At 52.3% G+C, this 19,127-nt stretch overlaps 1 protein-coding gene and 1 long non-coding RNA gene across 5 annotated transcripts, besides 4 other annotated features; both read right to left on the bottom strand.

Moving 5' to 3' along the window:
* Nucleotides 22–1,014: an enhancer, noted in NCBI's record as "H3K4me1 hESC enhancer chr19:39988291-39989283 (GRCh37/hg19 assembly coordinates)". NCBI's record gives its function as "activates a minimal SCP1, AML or CMV promoter by ChIP-STARR-seq in naive H9 embryonic stem cells {active_cell/tissue: H9 hESC(naive)}" and the evidence as "EXISTENCE:reporter gene assay evidence [ECO:0000049][PMID:30033119]".
* Nucleotides 339–398: a silencer, noted in NCBI's record as "silent region_10607". NCBI's record gives its function as "represses an Ori minimal core promoter by ATAC-STARR-seq in GM12878 lymphoblastoid cells {active_cell/tissue: GM12878}" and the evidence as "EXISTENCE:reporter gene assay evidence [ECO:0000049][PMID:35858748]".
* Nucleotides 4,886–17,827, bottom strand: TIMM50 (translocase of inner mitochondrial membrane 50). Of its 4 annotated transcripts, none has more exons than NM_001001563.5 (11): nucleotides 17,704–17,827; nucleotides 16,632–16,782; nucleotides 15,749–15,780; nucleotides 15,509–15,530; nucleotides 13,063–13,121; nucleotides 12,858–12,977; nucleotides 12,374–12,478; nucleotides 12,170–12,268; nucleotides 10,448–10,604; nucleotides 10,020–10,126; nucleotides 4,886–8,946 (listed from the first exon to the last, which is right to left on the bottom strand). In NM_001001563.5, exons 1-11 carry the CDS (start codon nucleotides 17,809–17,811, stop codon nucleotides 8,845–8,847), a joined length of 1,062 nt encoding a protein of 353 aa, NP_001001563.2. In that variant the 5' UTR covers nucleotides 17,812–17,827; the 3' UTR covers nucleotides 4,886–8,844. The 4 variants fall into 4 exon arrangements, with proteins under 4 accessions (NP_001001563.2, XP_011525793.1, XP_047295637.1 ...); XM_011527491.4 differs by having other exon boundaries at nucleotides 17,605–17,710; XM_047439681.1 differs by lacking the exon at nucleotides 17,704–17,827 and adding an exon at nucleotides 17,349–17,435.
* LOC124904718 (uncharacterized) lies at nucleotides 13,289–15,501 on the bottom strand. The gene is made up of 2 exons (XR_007067257.1): nucleotides 13,875–15,501; nucleotides 13,289–13,418 (listed from the first exon to the last, which is right to left on the bottom strand). It is a non-coding gene; the product is annotated as an uncharacterized LOC124904718 (long non-coding RNA).
* Nucleotides 17,375–17,424: an enhancer, noted in NCBI's record as "active region_14623". NCBI's record gives its function as "activates an Ori minimal core promoter by ATAC-STARR-seq in GM12878 lymphoblastoid cells {active_cell/tissue: GM12878}" and the evidence as "EXISTENCE:reporter gene assay evidence [ECO:0000049][PMID:35858748]".
* Nucleotides 17,545–18,139: an enhancer, noted in NCBI's record as "H3K27ac hESC enhancer chr19:39971166-39971760 (GRCh37/hg19 assembly coordinates)". NCBI's record gives its function as "activates a minimal SCP1, AML or CMV promoter by ChIP-STARR-seq in primed H9 embryonic stem cells {active_cell/tissue: H9 hESC(primed)}" and the evidence as "EXISTENCE:reporter gene assay evidence [ECO:0000049][PMID:30033119]".

Raw genomic sequence — 19,127 nt, 5'->3', positions numbered from 1 at the left:
CCAGAGCTACCGGAGGGTGCACATGACTTTGTCATTGTGAGTCCACGTGGGACTGTGCGGCTCAGCATACGCCTGGAGTTGTGTGTGATTGACACATTTATGAGGTTGTAAACAATTCTGATTCTGCACGCACACCCGAGTGGGACACTAGAAGTGTACACGACTTCGTGATTGTGTGACGCTTTGAGATTGTGTGGCTGTGTGGCTGCTTCTCTGTGCGTGTGTGTTTATGGGAGATCCTGTATAGGCGTATAAACCTGTGACTTTGTGCTCTGTGCGGGTGTGGTAGAGGCTGTGCAAGGTGGTGAATGGCTGAGGGCGCCTGTGTGTGAATGAGACTGGGTTTGAGAGGTCCACGGATGCAGCCGCGTGTGAATACGATGAAGATCCGGAGTTCTTTGTAGACCCCTGTGTGCGCTGGTTTGTGTGAATGAGACTGGGTTTGGGAGATCCACGGGTGTAGCTGTGTGTGGATACGATGAAGATCCAGGGCTCTTTGTGGACCCCTGTGTGCAGGCGTGTGTGTGTTCCCCCTCCGCAAGACAAAGCCACCCTCCCAAACCCCGCATCGCGGACGCACCAGACGCCAGGGCGAGGAGCTCGGCCTCAAGAGGGGGCTCCCAGCTGTATGTAAATGCCGCCATCTGCCGGGCGGCCGAGCCCCTCCCCCTTCGGGCCGCAGCTGGGCTGCCCGTTTGGCCTCCGGAAGGTGTGAGGAGCAAATGGGCAGGAAATTCCGTCTTCACATACAGGGACCCGCTCCCCCACCCCAGAAGAACTGGGGGGGGGGACATCCCGGGCCCTTCAGAAACCCTTTAGTATTCCAGGACCTCAGCAGGAAAAGCCAATTAGGAGCAGATGTCCCAGCCCCTCTGGTCATAATTGCTCCCTGCCAGGCATGGGGCAAAACCCTTGAGCTGGGGTAACTTCTTTTTTTTCCCCCCCAAAGTAAAAAACTTTAGTGCTTAGAGGCTAATAATTATAGGGGAAAATACAGGTTCAATTTATATGTCTTTTTCCAGAGAAGTAAGATATAGTAACCAACGAAGCCTAGCCCAGCAGAGCCAGGCATACAGTAGGCGCTCTGTTTTTTGTTGTTGCTGTTGTTGTTTTTTTCAGAAGAAGAAGTTTTGCTCTTGTTGCCCAGGCTGGAGTGCAGTGGTGCGATCTTGGCTCACTGCAACCTCCACCTCCCGGGTTCAAGCGATTCTGCTGCCTCAGCCTCCAGAGTAGCTGGGATTACAGGCACCCACCAACACACTCGGCTAATTTTTTATATTTTTAGTAGAGACGGGGTTTCACCATGTTGGCCAGGCTGGTCTCGAACTCCTGACCTTCAAGTGGTCCACCCACCTCGGCTTCCCAAATTGCTGGGATTACAAGCATGAGCCACTAATCCCTGCGCAGTTAATTTTTTAATGAATGAAAGAAGACCAGGCTGGGCACAGCGGCTCACGCCTATAATCCCAGTACTTTCCGAGGCTGAGGCAGGGGACTGCTTGAGGCCAGGAATTTGAGACCAGCCTGGGCAACACAGCAAGACACACTTTTCTACAAAAAAAAAGAAAAGGAGGAGGAGGAGGAGAAAAAAACAGCCTAAAGATTCTTCTCTTAATTCTGACAACAGTGGCGTTTGAGCAAGGCAGCGCCATGGGTCAGATTGGGCAGAACATCCCAGGCTCCTTTTCCCTGTATTTGTCTTTTCCACTCCCTTATTTTTTTTTAATTTATTATTATTGTTTGAGATGGAGTTTTATTCTTTGCCCAAGCTGGAGTGCAGCGGCTCCATCTCCACTCACTGCAACCTCCGCCTTCCAGTTTCAAGCGATTCTCCTGCCTCAGCCTCCCGAGTAGCTGGGATTACAGGTGCGCACCACCATGCCTCGCTAATTTTTGTATTTTTAGTAGAGACAGGGTTTCACCATCTTGGCCAGGCTGGTCTTCAACTCCTGACCTCGTGATCCGCCCACCTCGGCCTCCCAAAGTGCTGGGATTACAGGCGTGACCCAACGTGCCCGGCTCCACTCCCTTCTTTAATTCCTTTTTCACCATTCAGACTTCACCTCCTCCAGGCAGCACTACCTAACACTCCCCAGAAGCATCAAGCACCTCCTCTGAGCTCCCACATCCCCCTATGATTCTTTTATTCTGCCCGACCCCTCTGTCTGTGCCTCCCTCAGCCTTGACCATTCTGGCCTATGAGGTCTTTATTTTTTTGAGATGGGGTCTCTGTTGCCCAGGCTGCGGTGCAGTGGCATTATCCTAGCTTACTGCAGCCTCGACTTCCCGGGCTTAAATGATCCTCCCACCTCAGCCTCCCAAGTAGCTAGGATTACAAGCATGAGCCACCACACCTGGCTAATTTATTATTTTTGGTAGAGATGGGGTCTCCCTATGTTGCCCAGGCTGAACTCCTGGGCAAAAGCGATCCTCCCACCTCGGCCTTCCAAAGTGCTGAGATTACAGGCATGAGCCTCCATGCCTGGCCCTGTGGGGTTTATCTAAGCACAAATCAGACCATTTCCTTCACTTGCATTAGACTTTTCTGTAGCTCCCCAGTGCCTTCTAAATATGTAAGCTTCTAAGGCTGACATTTGAGACCCTCCTTCCACATCCCCCCGAGGTCAGACAAGTTATGTGGCCCCAAGGAGTAAAGCCAGACCTTGTAAACCAAAGTCACCTGGAGGCAAATTAGGTCTAATACTGGGTTAGGTGAGGGAATAGGCTTCCCATCACAGAATATATTTTAACAGAATTTGGGCAACCAGCTATGGAAGGAAGCAAATTCCTGCCCTGGATGATCATTGGGGGGAACAGATTCCAGGTCTGAGATATCTCAGAATGTTTGTTTTTGTTTTGTTTTGTTTTGTTTGGGGTTTTTTTGTTTTTGTTTTGTTTTGTTTTTTTGAGACGGAGTCTCGCTCTGTCACCCAGGCTGCAGTGCAGTGGCTCAATCTCGGCTCACTGCAATCTCCGCCTCCCGGGTTCAAGCGATTCTCCTGCCTCAGCCTCCCATTTAGCTAGGATTATGGGCGCCCACCACCACGCCTGGCCTGTTTGTTTTTTTTTTTTTCCTAGAGATAGAGTCTCACTATGTTACCTAGGCTGGTCTTGAACTCCTGGCCTCGAGTGATGCTCCTGTCTCAGCCTCCTAAAGTGCTGGAATTACAGGCGTGAGCCACTGAGCCTGGCTCTAAAATTTTAAAGATTATAAAAATTGCCAGCCTTTGTGAAGGTTTGTGGCAGGCACGATGGCATTTCTTGTGGATTTTCTTGTGGTGTGTGTGCGTGTGTCGTGTCGTGTACTTTAAGGGATTTCTGAGCATCTTTCTGGCTATTCACAACTTTTCTTTATATGTTGACTGTAGTCACCATAGAAGGCCATGCTGGCCAGGCACAGTGGCTCACACCTGTAATCCCAGTACTTTGGGAGGCTGAGGCGGGCAGATCACTTGAGGTCAGGAGTTCGAGACCAGCCTGGCCAACATGATGAAACCCCATCTCTACTAAAAATACAAAACTTAGCCGGGCATAGTGGTGGGCGCCTGTAGTCCCAGCTACTGGGGAGGCTGAGGCAGGAGAATCGCTTGAATCTTGGAGGTGGAGGTTGCAGTAAGCCAAGATCACACCACTGTACTCCAGCCTGGACAACAGAGCAAGACTGTCTCAAAAAAAAAAAAAAAAAATAGGCCATGCTAAGGTCACATTTAAGCAAAGGCCTAAAGGAGTAAGTTGTGTAGTCTCTAGGGAAAAACACTTCTGGCAGAGCGAACAGCAATTGCGGAGGCCTTGCGGTAAGCATGAGGCCCTGAGTGTGCCTCAGGCACACTCAGCTATCCCAGGGCTTCCCTCCTCACTTCATCCCATCTCTGCTCAGATGCGCCTTCCCAAGAGGCCTCCCGACCATCCCATCAGGTCTAAACCAGTCCTCTGAGTCCCCAGATCACTGCTGCTCCTTGCTATACTTTTTCTTTATGCATTTATTACCCTAGGAAGTTATCTGATCATTGTTTGTCTCCTCCATGAGAACACTGAACATCAGCTCATGACAGCAGAGCTTTGGTTTTTTGGTTTTTTTGAGACAGAGTCTCACTCTGTCACCTGGGCTGGAGTGCAGTGTTGCGATCTCGGCTCACTGCAACCTCCGCCTCCTGGGTTCAAGCGATTCTCCTGCCTCAGCCTCCGAGTGACTGGGATTACAGGCGCCCACCACTACGCCCAGCCACTCTTTGGTATTTTTAGTAGAGGCGGGGTTTCACCAAGTTGGCCAGGCTGGTCTTGAACTCCTGGCCTCGTGATTCGCCCACCTTGGCCTCCCAAAGTGCTGGGATGACAGCTGTGAGCCACCGTGCCCGGCCTGAAACCTCATCTCTCTTAAAAAAAAAAAATGCAAAAAATTAGCTTGGCATGTTGGCATGTGCCTGTAGTCTCAGTTACTTGGGAGGCTGAGGTGGGAGGATCACGAGGGCCCAGGAGGTCGAGGCTGCAGTGAGTGGTGACAGCGCCACTGCACTCCAGTGTGAGCAAGAGTGAGACACTGTCTCAAAACAAAACAAAAAGCCAGGCGCGGTGGCTCACGCCTGTAATCCCAGCACTTTGGGAGGCCGAGGCAGGTGGATCATGAGGTCAGAAGTTCAAGACCAGCCTGACCAACGGGGTGAAACCCCATCTCTACTAAAAATACAAAAATTAGGCCGGGCACAGTGGCTCACACCTGTAATCCCCATACTTTGGAAGTCTGAGGCGGGCAGATCGCCTCAGGTCAGGAGTTCGAGACCAGCCTGGCCAACATGGTGAAACTGTCTCTACTAAAAATACAAAAATTAACTGAGTGTGGTGGCTTTCATGCGCGTCCGTGTGAAGAGACCACCAAACAGGCTTTGTGTGAGCAATAAAGCTGTTTATTTCACCTGGGTGCAGGTGGGCTGAGTCCGAAAAGAGTCAGCGAAGGGAGATAGGGGTGGGGCTGTTTTATAGTATTTGGGAAGGTAATGGAAAATTACAGTCAAAGGGCGGGCAGGAGTGGGGGGTCGCAAGGTGCTCAGTGGGGGTGCTTCTGAGCCAGGAGAAGGAAATTTGCAGGGTTAATCACTCAGTTAAGGTGGGGCAGGAACAAATCACAATGGTGGAATGTCATCAGTTAAGGCGGGGCAGGGCCTTTTCACTTCTTTTGTGATTCTTCAGTTACTTCAGGCCATCTGGGTGTATATGTGCAAGGCACAGGGGATGCGATGGCTTGGCTTGGGCTCAGAGGCCTGACAGTGGCACACGCCTGTAATCCCAGCTACTTGGGAGCCTGAGGCAGGAGAATCACTTGAACCCAGGAGGTGCAGGGTGCAGTGAGCCGAGATCGCCCCACTGCACTCCAGCCTGGGCAACAGAGACTCCATCTCAAAAAAACAAAAAAAAAAGCACAGGTCCCCTCCCTCAGTCCTGCAGACTTCCTCAAGCTGGGAAGGACCAAGGATTTTGGGAAATAACTCCACCGGCTTACAGACAGTGCACCCCAGGACAAAGAGTCATGGTGTAAATTTTAATTATCCTTTGTAGAGGCTTCAAAAAAAAAAAAATCTAGAGTGCAGAGGTTCAGTCTGGTCCACACAGTTCTGAATGCCTTTTAATTATCATCACACACACCAGAGAAGGTCATCTTAGAATATTTAATCAGTTAGCACTAGATGAAGGCTGGAGTAGGAGAGACTGGGATAGTGGGGGGCAATGTGGGGATGGAGGCAGGGCGAGGGAGATAAAGTCAAACTGGTTTTTTTTTTGTTTTTTTTTTTTTTTTTTTTTGGAGACAGAGCCTTACTCTGTCGCCCAGGCTGGAGTGCAATGGTGTGATCTCAGCTCACTGCAACCTCTGCCTCCTGGGTTTAATCGATTCTCCTGCCTCAGCCTCCCAAGTAGCTGGGATTACAGGCACCCACCACCATGCCCAGCTAATTTATTTGTATTTTTTTAGTAGAGACAGGGTTTCACCATGTTGGCCAGGCTGGTCTCGAACTCCTGACCTCAGGTGATCCACCCGCCTCGGTCTCCCAAAGTGCTGGGATTATAGGGGTGAGCCACCGTGCCCAGCTAAGATATTTCAATCTGTGAATAACCCATATGGCCTGGTAACAGCAAGCACCTGGGAATATATACATATAACCCACATACGGACTGTCCCGTTCACTCCTCACAACCACTCTGCTAACATACTACCATCACCCCATTTTAGAGATGAGGAAACTGAGGCAGAGGTGCCTTGCCTAAGGTTTACATAGTTCCATTTGAGTGCCTACATGGGAGTGCTTCATTTGGTCCCCAAAGCTAGCCTGAGACAAGAACTTTCTTCTCCCCCCCCCGCAAGAGACAGGCTCTTCCCATGTTGCCCAGGCTGCTCTCCAACTCCTGGCCTCAGGCGATCCTCCCACCTCGGCCTCCTGAAGTGTTGGGATGACAGCCATGAGCCACTGTGCCTGCCCAGTTATTATTTTATAAATGTAGAAACCGAGGCACTGAGAGGTAAAGTAACTTGCACAGGATCACAAGCCAGCCGAGAAGTGGTAGAGCTTGGATTTGAACTTACACAATCTGGGACTCATACTCTTAATACACAGTGGTACTGTCAATACAGGAGACACATGTGGCTATTTAATTAAAAGTAGTTGGGCAGAGTGGCTCACTCCTATAATCTCAGCATTTGGGGAGGCCAAGGCAGGAAGATTGTTTGAGCCCAGAAGTTCAACACTGCAGTGAGCTATAGTTACACCACTGTGCTCCAGCCTGGGCGACACAGCGAGACCCTGACTCCAAAAAAAAATCTTAAGGTTTTTTTTTTTTTTTTTTTTTTTTTGAGACAGGGTCTCGCTCTGTTGCCCAGGCTAGAATTTAGCGGCACGATCACAGATCATCACAGCCACGCACGACCTCCTTGGCTCAAGGGATTCCTCCCACCTCAGCCTCTCACGTAGCTGGGACTACAGGTATGCATAACCTCGCTGGGCTCGTTACTTTGTTTTTTTTTTAGAGGCAGGATTTCACCATGTTGCCCAGGGTGGTCTCGTACTCCTGGATTCAAGCAATCCTCCTGCTTCGGCCTCCCAAAGTGTCAGGATTACAGGCGTGAGCCACTGTGCCCAGTCTCAAACAAAATTAAAAATTCAGTTTCTCAGTCACACTAGCCACATTTCAAGTGCTCAGAAACTTTATGTGGGGCCAGGCATGGTGGCTCATGCCTGCAATCCCAGCACTTTGGGAGGCCGAGGCGGGCGGATCACGAGGTCAGGAGTTCGAGACCAGCCTAACCAACATGGTGAAACCCTGTCTCTACTAAAAAAATACAAAAATTAGCCGGGCGTGGTGGTGTGCGCCTGTAATCTCAGCTACTTGGGAGGTTGAGGCGGGAGCATTGCTTGAACCCGGGAGGCGGAGGATGTGGTGAGCCGACGTCGTGCCATTGCACTCCAGCCTGGGCAATAAGAGCGAAACTCCGTCTCAAAAAAAAAAAACAAAGGTTTATGTGGCCACTGGCTACTGTACTGGACAGTACAGACCTAGAACATGAACCAAACATCACAGAAAGTTCCAGTGGAGAACACTGCTACATATCTGCCTGTTTTAGTTAGAAGCCAACATTTTATTTTTATTTTATTTTATTTTTTGAGATGGAGTTTCGCTGCTGTTGCCCAGGCTGGAGTGCAATGGTGCGATCTCGGCTCACCACAACCTCCGCCTCCCAGGTTCAAGCAATTCTCCTGCCTCAGCCTCCTGAGTAGCTGGGATCACAGGCATGCTCCACCACGCCCAGCTAATTTTGTATTTTTAGTAGAGATGGGGTTTCTCCATGTTGAGGCTGGTCTTGAACTCCTGACCTCAGGTGATCCACCCACCTCAGCCTCCCAAAGTGCTGGGATTACAGGCGTGAGCCACTGCGCCCCGCTAGGAGCCAACATTTTAAAATAGGGAGATTTAATATAAAAATCCCTATTTTAGCTGGGCACAGTAGCTCACACCTGGAATCCTAGCGCTTTGGGAGGCCAAAGCAGGAAGATTGCTTAAGACTAGGAGTTTGAGACCAGCTTGGGCACCAAGACCCCATCTCTACAAAAAAAAAATTTGTTTAAATTAGCTGGGTATGGTAGCACGCACCTGTAGTCCCCAGGAGGGTACTCAGGAGGCTGAGGCAGGAGGGTCACTTGGAGATCACTTGAGCCGGGAGGTCAAGGCTGTTGTAAGCTAAGATCACATCAATGCACTCCAGCCTGGGCAACAGTGAGACCCTGTCTCAAAAAAAAAAAAAAAATATTCCCAAGTTCTTGCTTCTTTTGAACAACTGGCGTGTCAAGCAACTCCAGGCCCCCTTTACCCCAGGGCCACACTGGCTGGAGCCAACCAGCAGCTGGCCTGTTGAGAGGGGTAATCTCTGGTCCACCAGAGGCCCACTAGGCCCATAACACATTCTCTCCACAGTAGCCTGGCAGCTACCTGTCTTTAAAGCCAAGTGCCATCCTCTCTTCCCTTCTCCACAGATGAGGAGTCTGTGGTCAGAGGGAGATGTATTTTTCACAGATCACGCAACACACAGGAAGACACAGCGAGGGTTTTTAGATTCCGAGACCAGGGTGAAAAATCTGCTCTGATCCAACAAAGCACCCCCACTGTGCTTGGCAGCCGATCAGCCACTGTGGGACGATGACCCAAGAGTCCCGGACCTCACCCTGATGCCCCCATCTGGAGACTCTCGGGACACAGCAGGTGTGGCGTCTGGGATGTACTTTATTGGACAAGTGGTGGCCCAAGTCTTGGTCTGGAAGCACTGGGGCCCTGGACCCAGGCACTGAGTTTGAGGAGGCCCAGAGTTCAGGGCTGTTTGGAGCGAGGCCACAAGCGGCTGGTGAGGGAGCCAAGGAAGAGGTTCTGCTTGTTGGACTTGGAGAGCTCGGCCAGGCGCTGCTGCTCCTCCTGGGGTAGGGGGACAGTTGGAGGAGAGGGTCAGCGCAAGGTGGACAGAGCCTCCTCCCAGATGCCCAGGTCCCCAGGCCTCAGCCCAGGGACCACCTTTCCTTCTGACTTCTGCCAAGTCCAGACCCCTTTCCCCAAACCCTGGGGCCCCCAGCCCAGACACAAGGGACCCTAGACCCCAGTCCCCCCACCCCAGACACTAGGAAGAGCCAGCTCTGAGCCGCAGGAGCCTAGGCTTCAATGTTTGGGGGACGACAGACTCCAATACTAGGCACTCGAGGTATTCAGGCCTGAACTGCAGTAGGTTCTCAGGCCCCAGACTGTCATAATCTCCTTCCCCAGATCCCAGGGACCCCTCCCCTGAGCCTGAGATCCTATCGCAGACCCTGTTACCCCAAGGTGAATGCTGGTGAGATCCCAGGTCCAAACCCCATGGCCCTCCTCACCAGACTGCATCATCCTGCCCCTGGGCCCTCTGAGCCCCATGACCCCTCTCTGGATGCAGGGGTGGGGGGTTCCCTGGGGGGTCCCCAGGCCCAAATCTCTAGGGACTTCTCTGGGCACTCAGGGGCTCCCAACTCTAGGAACCTAACCTAGAATCTGGTGAACCTCAGCCTAGACCCCTGGGAATCTTACCCAGACGCAATCCATACTCTCAGTCCCACTTCCAAATTACCAGGGTCCCACCAAGACTATCACATCTCTCCCCACAGCCTTGGGCCACGTGCCCAGGGAGCCTCTTTCCAGGCCTGATCTAAAACCCACAATCCACCTCCACAAGGTGCCCCCAGACCTACTCAAGACCATCAAGGGCAACCCCTCTCCCAGCCTAATCTCAAATCCTCTCCTGTTTCCTGTTCTCAGAGCAGGCTGCAGAATCAATGCATCCCCTCATTCTGGCAGCCCTACAGGACAGGCTGTGTTATATCCCCCTGGTTACAGAGACTGAGGCAGAGAGGAGGTATCTGCTCAGGGTCACACAGCCAAACCAAGAGTGTGGAGATGGACTGCCCCAGGCTCCTCCTTCAGGAGCCTCAGAGCCGATCCTCCACTCTGGGCATCTGAGCACCAACCTGCTCTAGCCGGCTTTGCCGCTGTTTGAAAGCCGCCAGCGGGTCATCCTCCAGGGCATAGTGCTCCAGCACGGTTCGCACGTCCTCCACACCATTCAGTGCAATGGCTGTGGGCACAACAGGGGGTGGTCAGCCAGGCTTCTAAAGGCCAGAGGGAGGCAGGGCCCATGAGGGGAACGTCCCGCACTGGGGCACGGGGGCAGTCAGTGCTACCTGGAATGCTTCTGAACGCTCTGAAAGGGCTCCCCTGAACATCCCCAAGTATCCCCCAAACATTCCATGAACATCCTAAGAAGCTCCTAAAGACTCCAAGGTGCTCAGGCACCTCTTGCACCTCAGTCGCCCAGCCATGAATCATGCATTTATCCTTCCTCTTCAGAGTCAGGGGCTCTGGGGTCAGAGGCCAAGGGATCAGGGGTCAGCCTTACTCTTGAGGAAGGCAGACAGATCCAACAAGACCCGGTCATCAGAGTTGCCGTCCCAGGGCCGCAGGGCAACGCCGTTATAGGGCTGCAGGCGGAAGGCTTCCTTCTTGCAGTCCACAACTACTACTCGAGCTGGGTCCCGATTCAGACATGAAATATCCTGGAAGTGAGTGACAGATCAGGTCAACATCTGTGCCCAACTCTCCCCCCATCAAGAAGACCCAAAACACACAAAACATACATACATACACAGCATCACACATACTGGGATCACAATGGCAGGGCCTCTCAAAGACCGGCTTTGGATGATGGCATCGACCCCCACAGAGGGCCAGGCATGGTGGCTCACGCCTGTAATCCCAGCACTTTGGGAGGCCGAGGCGGGCGGATCACCTGAGGTCAGGAGTTCAAGACCAGCCTGGCTAAAATGGTGAAACCCCGTATCTACTAAATACAAAAAATGGCCGGGTGCGGTGGCTCACGACCGTACTCCCAGAATTTTGGGAGGCCAAGGTGGGCAGATTGCCTGAGCTCAGGAGTTCAAAACCAGCCTGGGCAACATGGCGAAACTCTGTCTCTACTAAAAATACAAAAAATTAGCTGGGTGTGGTGGTGTGTGCTTGTAGTCCCAGCTACTCGGGAGGCTGAGGAAAGAGAATCGCTTGAACCTGGGAGGGGGAGGTTGCAGTGAACCAAGATCGCGCCACTGCACTCCAGCCTAGGCAACAGAGCGAGACTCCGTCTCACAAAAAAAATAAATAAATAAAAATAAAAATAAAAATTAGCCAGGCATGGTGGTGTGTGCCTATAGGCCCAGCTACTCAGGAGGCTGAGGTGGGAAGATCGCTTGAGCCCAGAAGGTTGAGACTGCAGTGAGCCATGTTCATCACACCACTGCACTCCAGCCTGGGTGACAGAGCAAAACCCTGTCTCAGAAACAAAAAACAAAACAACCCCCAGGATATTGGGGAGCTAATCACATAGACTTCTAGACCCAGGGCCTAGCACACAGAGAGGTGATTAGGAAGTTCCCTGGAGAGGGAGGTGGCCACTCTCGTGTTTAACCCCTGCCCAGGTGACTGTGGTATGTTGCAGGTTTAAGAACCTCTCACTCAAGTAAACAGGTGCAGACAGATCTGCAGCCACACCCAGGGAACCACACAGACAGGCACCCAGACACAGACCCTTCAAGACCCTCGATCACAGCCCACGTATTTTGGAATTTCCAAGAGCAACACAGAACCCCCACCCCGACACGACACAGACAGAAACCAACAGACACACAGACACTTGGAGCCAGACCCACAGAGGCCCATTCGCAGATCCGGACTCCTGAATACAGCACTGGCCACAGTAACAGAGCCCGGGTCAAACAAACCCCAACCAGTCTCATATGTACAACTATAAGCAAACCTTCCCAGAAACACTAAGTTACAGACACAGCAAGATAAAACCAGCTTCTAAATCGTACGACCTTACCACTAACCCCCAACTGTCTTCTTTAGAGAGACCCCATTTCCCCCCACTCCCACACCCAGATTCCAGGGAACAAAGAAGGGTGCAGATGTCTGGCCAAGGCTAGAGGCAGGCATGTGCCTGCCAGCAGGAATCGAATCTGGGCAGAACCATAAGCCAGGTGAGGCTAGGGTCAGAGCTGGGCCCTCCTTCCCTCAGGTGGTGCCAACTCCGCCAAATCCCAGAGGCCCACCCATGAACCCACGGCACCTTTACATGGTGTCCATCCATGTATCTTGTGGCGTCCCGGAATAGGCGGTAGGAGATGAAGCCATGGGGGTCCACACTATCAATGAGTGGAAACGCAGTCTGGGGGTGGGAAGGGAGCGAGAAAAGGTCAGGCTGAGCCCTGGTCCTCCAGATCTCTACGCCTCCCACCACACCAATATTCCCTCCCCTGCCCCAGAGCCTCACCATGCCAGTCTCTGACGTAAAGATGACAATTTCATATAAAGGGGCAAGCTGCTGGAACAAGGTCTCGATGCCTGGGCGCTTCTTAAACCTCCAGCCAGTGGCCAGCTGGGAAGACAGTGAGGACAGTGAAACACCAAGACCCAGAGGTCCTCAGAGTCCCCAAGAGGACAAAGATCCAGCCTGGGGGATTCCCAGAACAGAGTTCTCTCCCTCTGTCTCTGTGGCTCTTGGAGGTCAAGAAGTTCATAGGCTGTGACTGCGGGTCTGGCTCCTTTGTGGCACTTATAGCGTGCCTGGGCACACCTACACTACCCTACAGAGTGGGTGTTAGCATGACTGCCTTCTCCCAGCTGAAGAAAGCGAGGCAATGACAGGTGACATCTCCTCCCCAAGATCACATAGCACAGCCAGGGCTGAAAGTCCACCTCATCACAACCCCACTGCCCAGGTCTATCCCCAACCCACTGGGTTTCCCGGGACACACCGACCACTCAGGATGCAAGAGGACGCCGGTGAGCTCCAAAACGAGCGTGTAGGGTGGCTGGTAGTACGGTTCCTGCAGAGGGTCTGGGAGAAGGCAAGGGCTGGTGGGCTCGATGATCATCTGTGGGAGAGGGACAGGATGGGGGCGCTCAGACAAGGAGGCCAGGGCTGGAGACATGGGGACTGAGCCCAGGGCTTCTGCTCACCTGTCTATAATCTTTGAAATATTTGTATGTCCGGCGCAACTGCTGTACCAGAATTGGATCTAGGAGAACACCAGGCACAAAGAGATTCCACAATAAGCCGCTGTTCAACCTCCCAGACAAACCAGGGGTTTCTTATCTACCAGATACAAACAGGTCTGCATATCTGCCTGGTTTGAACCAACTCATTTCTAGGTCCAAAGATAGAAGGCAATGACATACCGCCAGATAGGAACACAGATTTATTTACTTGCCCTATTTTAAGCTGATACTTATATCCACATACTACCCCAGGTATGAAACAGAATGCTTATTACATTGGCCCACTTAAAACCCACATACAAGGCCGGGCACGGTGGCTCACGCCTGTAATCCCAGCACTTTGGGAGGCCGAGGCAGACGGATCACGAGGTCAGATCAAGACCATCCTGGCCAACATGGTGAAACTCTGTCTCTACTAAAACAGTAAAAAAAAAAAAAAATTAGCCGGGCGTGGTGGCATGTGCCTGTAGTCCCAGCTACCTGGGAGGCTGAGGCAAGAGAATCACTTGAACCCGGGAGGTGGAGGTTGCAGCGAGCCGAGATTGCACCACTGCACTCCAGCGTGGCAACAGAGTAAGACTCCGTCTCAGAAAAAAAAAAAACAAAACAAAACCCACATACATGTAAATCTGCTGACATTACACCAGGGTATACATACTTTTTTAATAGAGACAGGGTCTTGCTCTGTTGACCGGGCTGGTCTTGAACTCCTGGGCTCAAGTGATCCTCCCGCCTTGGCCTCCCAAAGTGTTGGGATTACAGGCGTGAGCCACCACACCTAATTTATGCCACTGTATTTTGCCCACTTTGAATCACTAGGCTTCCAGATCTGCCCACTTTAATCCAGTGTGCTGAATCTAAACCACAATAAATATATAAACACATCCATATACCATAAAACAGTGGTTCAGAACTAGGAACAATTTTGTCTATCTGCCTACCCCTGGGAAATCTGGCAATGCCGGGAGATATAACCGGTTATCGCAATACTGGCATCTAGTAGGCAGATGCCCAGGATGCTGCAAAAATCCTTCAATGCACAGGGCAGTCCTCTATAATTATCTGGTCCAAAGCGTCAATAGGGCCAAGGGTGAAAAACCCTGGTTTAAGTGAATATATTGACTCCAGTTTACTTTCTCATTTTAACTTATTTTTTTTTAGAGATGGAGACTCACTCTGTCATCCAGGCTAGAGTGCAGTGGCGGGATCACAGCTCACTGCAGCCTGTAACTTCCAGGCTCAAGTGATCCTCCCACCTCAGCCTCCTGAGTAGCTGGGACCACAGGCACAGGCCACCACTCCCGGCTAATGAATCCAGTATAAAACAGTAAACTTACAAGGCTACCTACTTTAATACAGTATTTTTAGTGCAATACATGGGCCTGCCTCTTAAAAAAAACACAATATATTGGGCCAGGAGTGGTGGCTCAAGCCTGTAATCCCAGCACTTTGGGAGGCTGAGGCGAGTGACCACCTGAAGTCAGGAGTTCGAGACCAGCCTGACCAACATGGTGAAACCCTGTCTCTACTAAAACTATAAAAATTAGCTGAGTGTGGTGGTGTGCGCCTGTACTCCCAGCTACTCGGGAGGCTGAGGCACGAGAAATGCTTGAACCCAGGAGGTGGAGGTTGCAGTGAGCCAAAATTGCATCACTGCACTCCAGCCTAGGCAACAGAGCAAGACTATGTCTCAAAAAAAAATAAAAATAAAAATAAACCACAATATTGAAACCAGTTAGGCTAGTAAACATATACACTTTAAAACTGCAGATGTACCTGCCCAATTTAAATCAGCATACTGATTTGTTGAAGCCAGCATGATTCTACAACTGCCCAGTTTGAAACAATCAATGTATTAACATGACTGTTTGCAAACATCCCCCAGCATAAACAGGTGGCTTTCTGGACCCACCAATTTCATTTTTCTCCTAGGAAGAGCCAGGTGTGACAGGATTGACAGCTACTCTCTACTATCCAATTTGTCATCTACTTCACCACCAAAAGCTGGTTAACCAGAAGGGGAGAGAGGAAGGCGGCATAGTTTTGAAAATGAGCCTAATGGGGTAGGGGCTCGAGGGGGATGGGGAAGGAGTTGGGAACCGCAGATGCTTGGTCTAAGGCACAGGAACCCATGTGTCTGGAGATAGGCCACCCTGTGTCCCCAAGCCCTCCCACCCAAGGCTCCAATCCCCCATCTGTCTCTGACCATCTGCTCGGGGCTGAGGGGCCAGGGAAGTGGGCTTGGGCTTTGTAATGTCCCTCCCCACAAAGCCATCCAGCTGCTGGCTCCCCCACCTCCCCAGTGGAAGGAGGAGGGGCCGGAGACACCAGATGGGGAGAGAGACATCCTTACAAATGACAGAGTTGAGAGGGTCAGGGACTCCAGAATCTGTGCTTGTTTACTCACCATTGTCGAACTCATCAGGAATCTGGGAGGTAGAGAGAAAAATGGAAGGTTTAGGATGTCAGAGGCAGAACCCCATCACATACAGAAAAGGAATCTCCAGGACCCCAAGAGGAACAGGCAAAGGTCACTGGGAAAGAAAGGCTCACTCCAGACCAGCAATGTGCCTGAACAGACCAAAGGGGACCCCTCTCACCCACAGACTAGGACTCCTGGCAAGGCCTCGGTCTCTTTCCCCCTCACCTTGGCACCATTTTCGTCCACCGGGTTGTTTCCTGCAAGGGAGACCAGGATGAATATGAGGAATTAGGGCCCAGTCCCCTGGGTCCCGAGGGAGGAGTGGGATAAGGGGCCTGGACTCCTGGATCTGAGGAAAGAGAGAGGCACAGCCTCCTGGAGTCAAGCCAGGAGGGGGCTGGGAGCCAAGATTCCTGGGTCTTTGAGAGAAATGGGGCTGGGGCTAGGTCTTTTGGGTCTGTGGGATTTTTTTTTTTTTTTTTGAGACAGAGTCTCGCTCTGTTGCCCAGGCTGGAGTGCAGTGGCACGATCTCGGCTCACTGCAAGCTCCGCCTCCCGGGTTCACGCCATTCTCCTGCCTCAGCCTCCCGAGTAGCTGAGACTACAGGCGCCCGCCACCACACCGGGCTAATTTTTTTTTGTATTTTTAGTAGAGATGGGGTTTCACCGTGTTAGCCAGGATGGTCTCCGTCTCCTGACCTCGTGATCCGCCCGCCTCGGCCTCCCAAAGTGCTGGGATTACAGGCGTGAGCCACCGTGCCCGGCCGGGTCTGTGGGATTTAAAGTAACTAGTGGGAAGGCTGGATTTTTGGCTGCTGAGGAAAGACAAAGTTTAGGAAGCTGATCCAGGCCTATCCTTCCCCATCTTCCCCTCTTTCCTTTATCCTGGTACAGGAACCAACTAGAAAGACTAGAACCTTAAGGAGTGGAAGGGAGAAGAAAGAAGACTTCCCTGGTTTTCAAGGTAGGTGTCTTATTTGGCTGCCCTATTGAGGAAGGAGCCAGGGAATGAAGACGAGAGAAGCTGGTAGTGGGCAAGAGTGGGAGGTTCCACAGTGGACCAGGGAGGCCAAGGAACAAAACTGGGGGACAGGGATATGTCCCTCACCAAAGATATAGACGACGCTCACAGTCCCACCAGCTCCAAGCAGCCCAGCAAGCCAGAGCGCAACTTTTTTGGCATAGCTGGGACCCTCTGAGCCCGGCTGCTGCTGTGGCCCTTGCGCCTTAGTGCTCCCGCGGCTCCCGATCTCTGCGGCCTGCGGTTGAGAAAGGGGAGGTCAGCCAAGAGAGAAGAGAGGTCAGGATGGTCCCCACCCTCCAGTCCAAGAAGAATCAAGTTCAGGAGCCAAGAGGCAGACACCCACAGAGCCCTGGACATCTGTGTCCCTGGAGTAGCAGTCAGGATGTGGGGCTGCTCAGAGGGTCAAAACCAGACTGTCCCGCACCAGGATGCCAGGAGTTTTAAAAGCTAACAGGCCAGGTGCACAGGATCCTGAAGGCAACAGGACTGGAGGGTCTGCAGCCCAGAAAAGCAAAGCACGGAGAATAAGGGATGGGAGGGCCTAAACACTGGGATGAGAGGGAACGGAGGGCACAAGTGGTGGGGGAAGGGGTACAGACAGAACCGGGAGTTACGACGTCCGGCTGCTTGGGGCTAAAAGTAGCAGAGTTATAGGGTAAGGGATAGGAGCGGAGGCGGGGAAGGGCAATCACTTGTCTGGGGCTTGGGGAACTAAGGCACAGAAGTGATAGACTTGGAGGTCAGAATGGCTGGGTCTCTGTCAACATGGAGGCAAGTCGAATTGGAAACCCAAACGTCTACCTCGCCACCACCAACGCCACAGAGAAAATAACTCCCACGGCCAGACTGGGACTCCAGCGTCCCAGGCCCCTCCTGCTCAAGTATCACCTGAGTGGTCACTGAAACGGGGAACGGTAACCCCCTCCTCCTCCGGCACCCACGTGGGTGGGAGGTGGGGTCTAAGGACACACCTGGATTCCCAGCCTCCAGCCTAGGGGAGCAACCACCCAGGAGGTTGGGAAGGGCCCCAAAACACAAGCGGCGTTTCATTCAGCACCCTGAGGTGAGGCGTCCCGGAACCCCCAAGGGGCGGCGATATGTCCGTAACTCCAGGGAAGGGACCCCACATTCAGAGGGCCACCCTCGTTCCGCTCACCTGATCTGGGGCCCGGCGGGGCGGCGTCGCCAACCTCGTGCACAGTCCCCGCGAGCCGAGCCGGAGCCCGCTTCGCAAGCGCGAGAACACCGCTGCCGAGGCCGCCATCTTGCGCTGACGCCACGCGGCCCCGCCCACTCGCTCCCTCTTCGCCCGCCCCGGGCCGGAGCTACAGCCAATGGAAACGCGGGGGAGGGGCGGGTGGACGGAAGCCCGAGAGAGACCAAAGGCATCGGGCGGATTGCCGCAGGCGCGTTTGCTTCTGACTAGTCTCCTGGCTGACCCTGGGGGCGACAACTGGGATTCAAAGTCATCTGGACCACGCCCCCTTGGGCCTTGCAGAGCGCCACCGCCCCTGCAAAGGACGCAGCGAAGGAAGGGATCACACTTATTGCCCAGAGATAAAGCTGAGGCCATAATGAAGGGAGTCAGTGGCTGCCTGATTTGTCCAAAAAAATAGTCACGAGTCAGGCCGCTTGTCTCACCGTGTAAGGCAATCGGCCCTCACCTCCCAATTGTCTGAAGGGATGGGTTGCCCCTCCACACCTGTGGGTGTTTCTCGTTAGGTGGAACGAGAGACTTTGGAAGAGAAAAAGACACAGAAACAAAGTATAGAGAAAGAAATAAAGGGGGCCCAGGGGACCAGCGTTCAGCATACGGAGGATCCCTCCAGCCTCTGAGTTCCCTTAGTATTTACTGATCATTCTTGGGTGTTTCTTGGAGAGGGGGATGCGTCAGGGTCATAGGATAATAGTGGAGAGAGGGTCAGCAGATAAACACGTGAACAACGGTTCATAGACAAGGTAAAGAATTAAATGCTGTACTTTAGATATGCATACATATAAACATCTCAGTGCCTTACAGAGCAGTATTGTTGCCCGCATGTTCCACCTCCAGCCCTAAGGCAGTTTTCCCCTATCTCAGTAGATGGAACATACAATCGGGTTTTATACCAAGACTTGCCCAGGGACGGGCAGGAGACAGATGCCTTCCTCTTGTCTCAACTGCGAAGAGGCGTTCCTTCCTGTTTTACTAATCCTCCTCAGCACAGACCCTTTACGGGTGTCGGGCTGGGGGACGGTCAGATCTTTCCCTTCCCATGAGGCCATATTTCAGACTATCACATGGGGAGAAACCTTGGACAATACCTGGCTTTCCTAGGCAGAGGTCCCTGCGGTCTTCCGCAGTGTTTGTGTCACTGGGTACTTGAGATTAGGGAGTGGTGATGACTCTTAAGGAGCATGCTGCCTTCAAGCATCTGTTTAACAAAGCACGTCCTGCACAGCCCTTAATCCATTTAACCCTGAGTTGACACAGCACATGTTTCAGAGAGCACGGGGTTGGTTATAGAGAACCCCGTCATCTATAACAGGGTATGGTTATAGATTAACAGCATCTCAAGGCAGAAGAATTTTTCTTAGTAC

Source organism: Homo sapiens, chromosome 19, assembly GCF_000001405.40.
Source record: "Homo sapiens chromosome 19, GRCh38.p14 Primary Assembly".
Classification (NCBI taxonomy): domain Eukaryota; kingdom Metazoa; phylum Chordata; class Mammalia; order Primates; family Hominidae; genus Homo; species Homo sapiens.
This window is presented reverse-complemented; position numbering and strand designations above follow the sequence as displayed.

Excerpts from the sequence above, each read along its gene's own strand:
- TIMM50 (NM_001001563.5), bottom strand. The coding sequence starts at position 17,811 with ATGGCGGCCTCGGCAGCGGTGTTCTCGCGCTTGCGAAGCGGGCTCCGG. Across the intron at positions 16,783-17,703 it reads CCCGCCGGGCCCCAGATCAG|GCCGCAGAGATCGGGAGCCG; the intron begins GTGAGCGGAACG and ends TCTCAACCGCAG. Across the intron at positions 15,531-15,748 it reads TGGACGAAAATGGTGCCAAG|ATTCCTGATGAGTTCGACAA; the intron begins GTGAGGGGGAAA and ends TCTACCTCCCAG.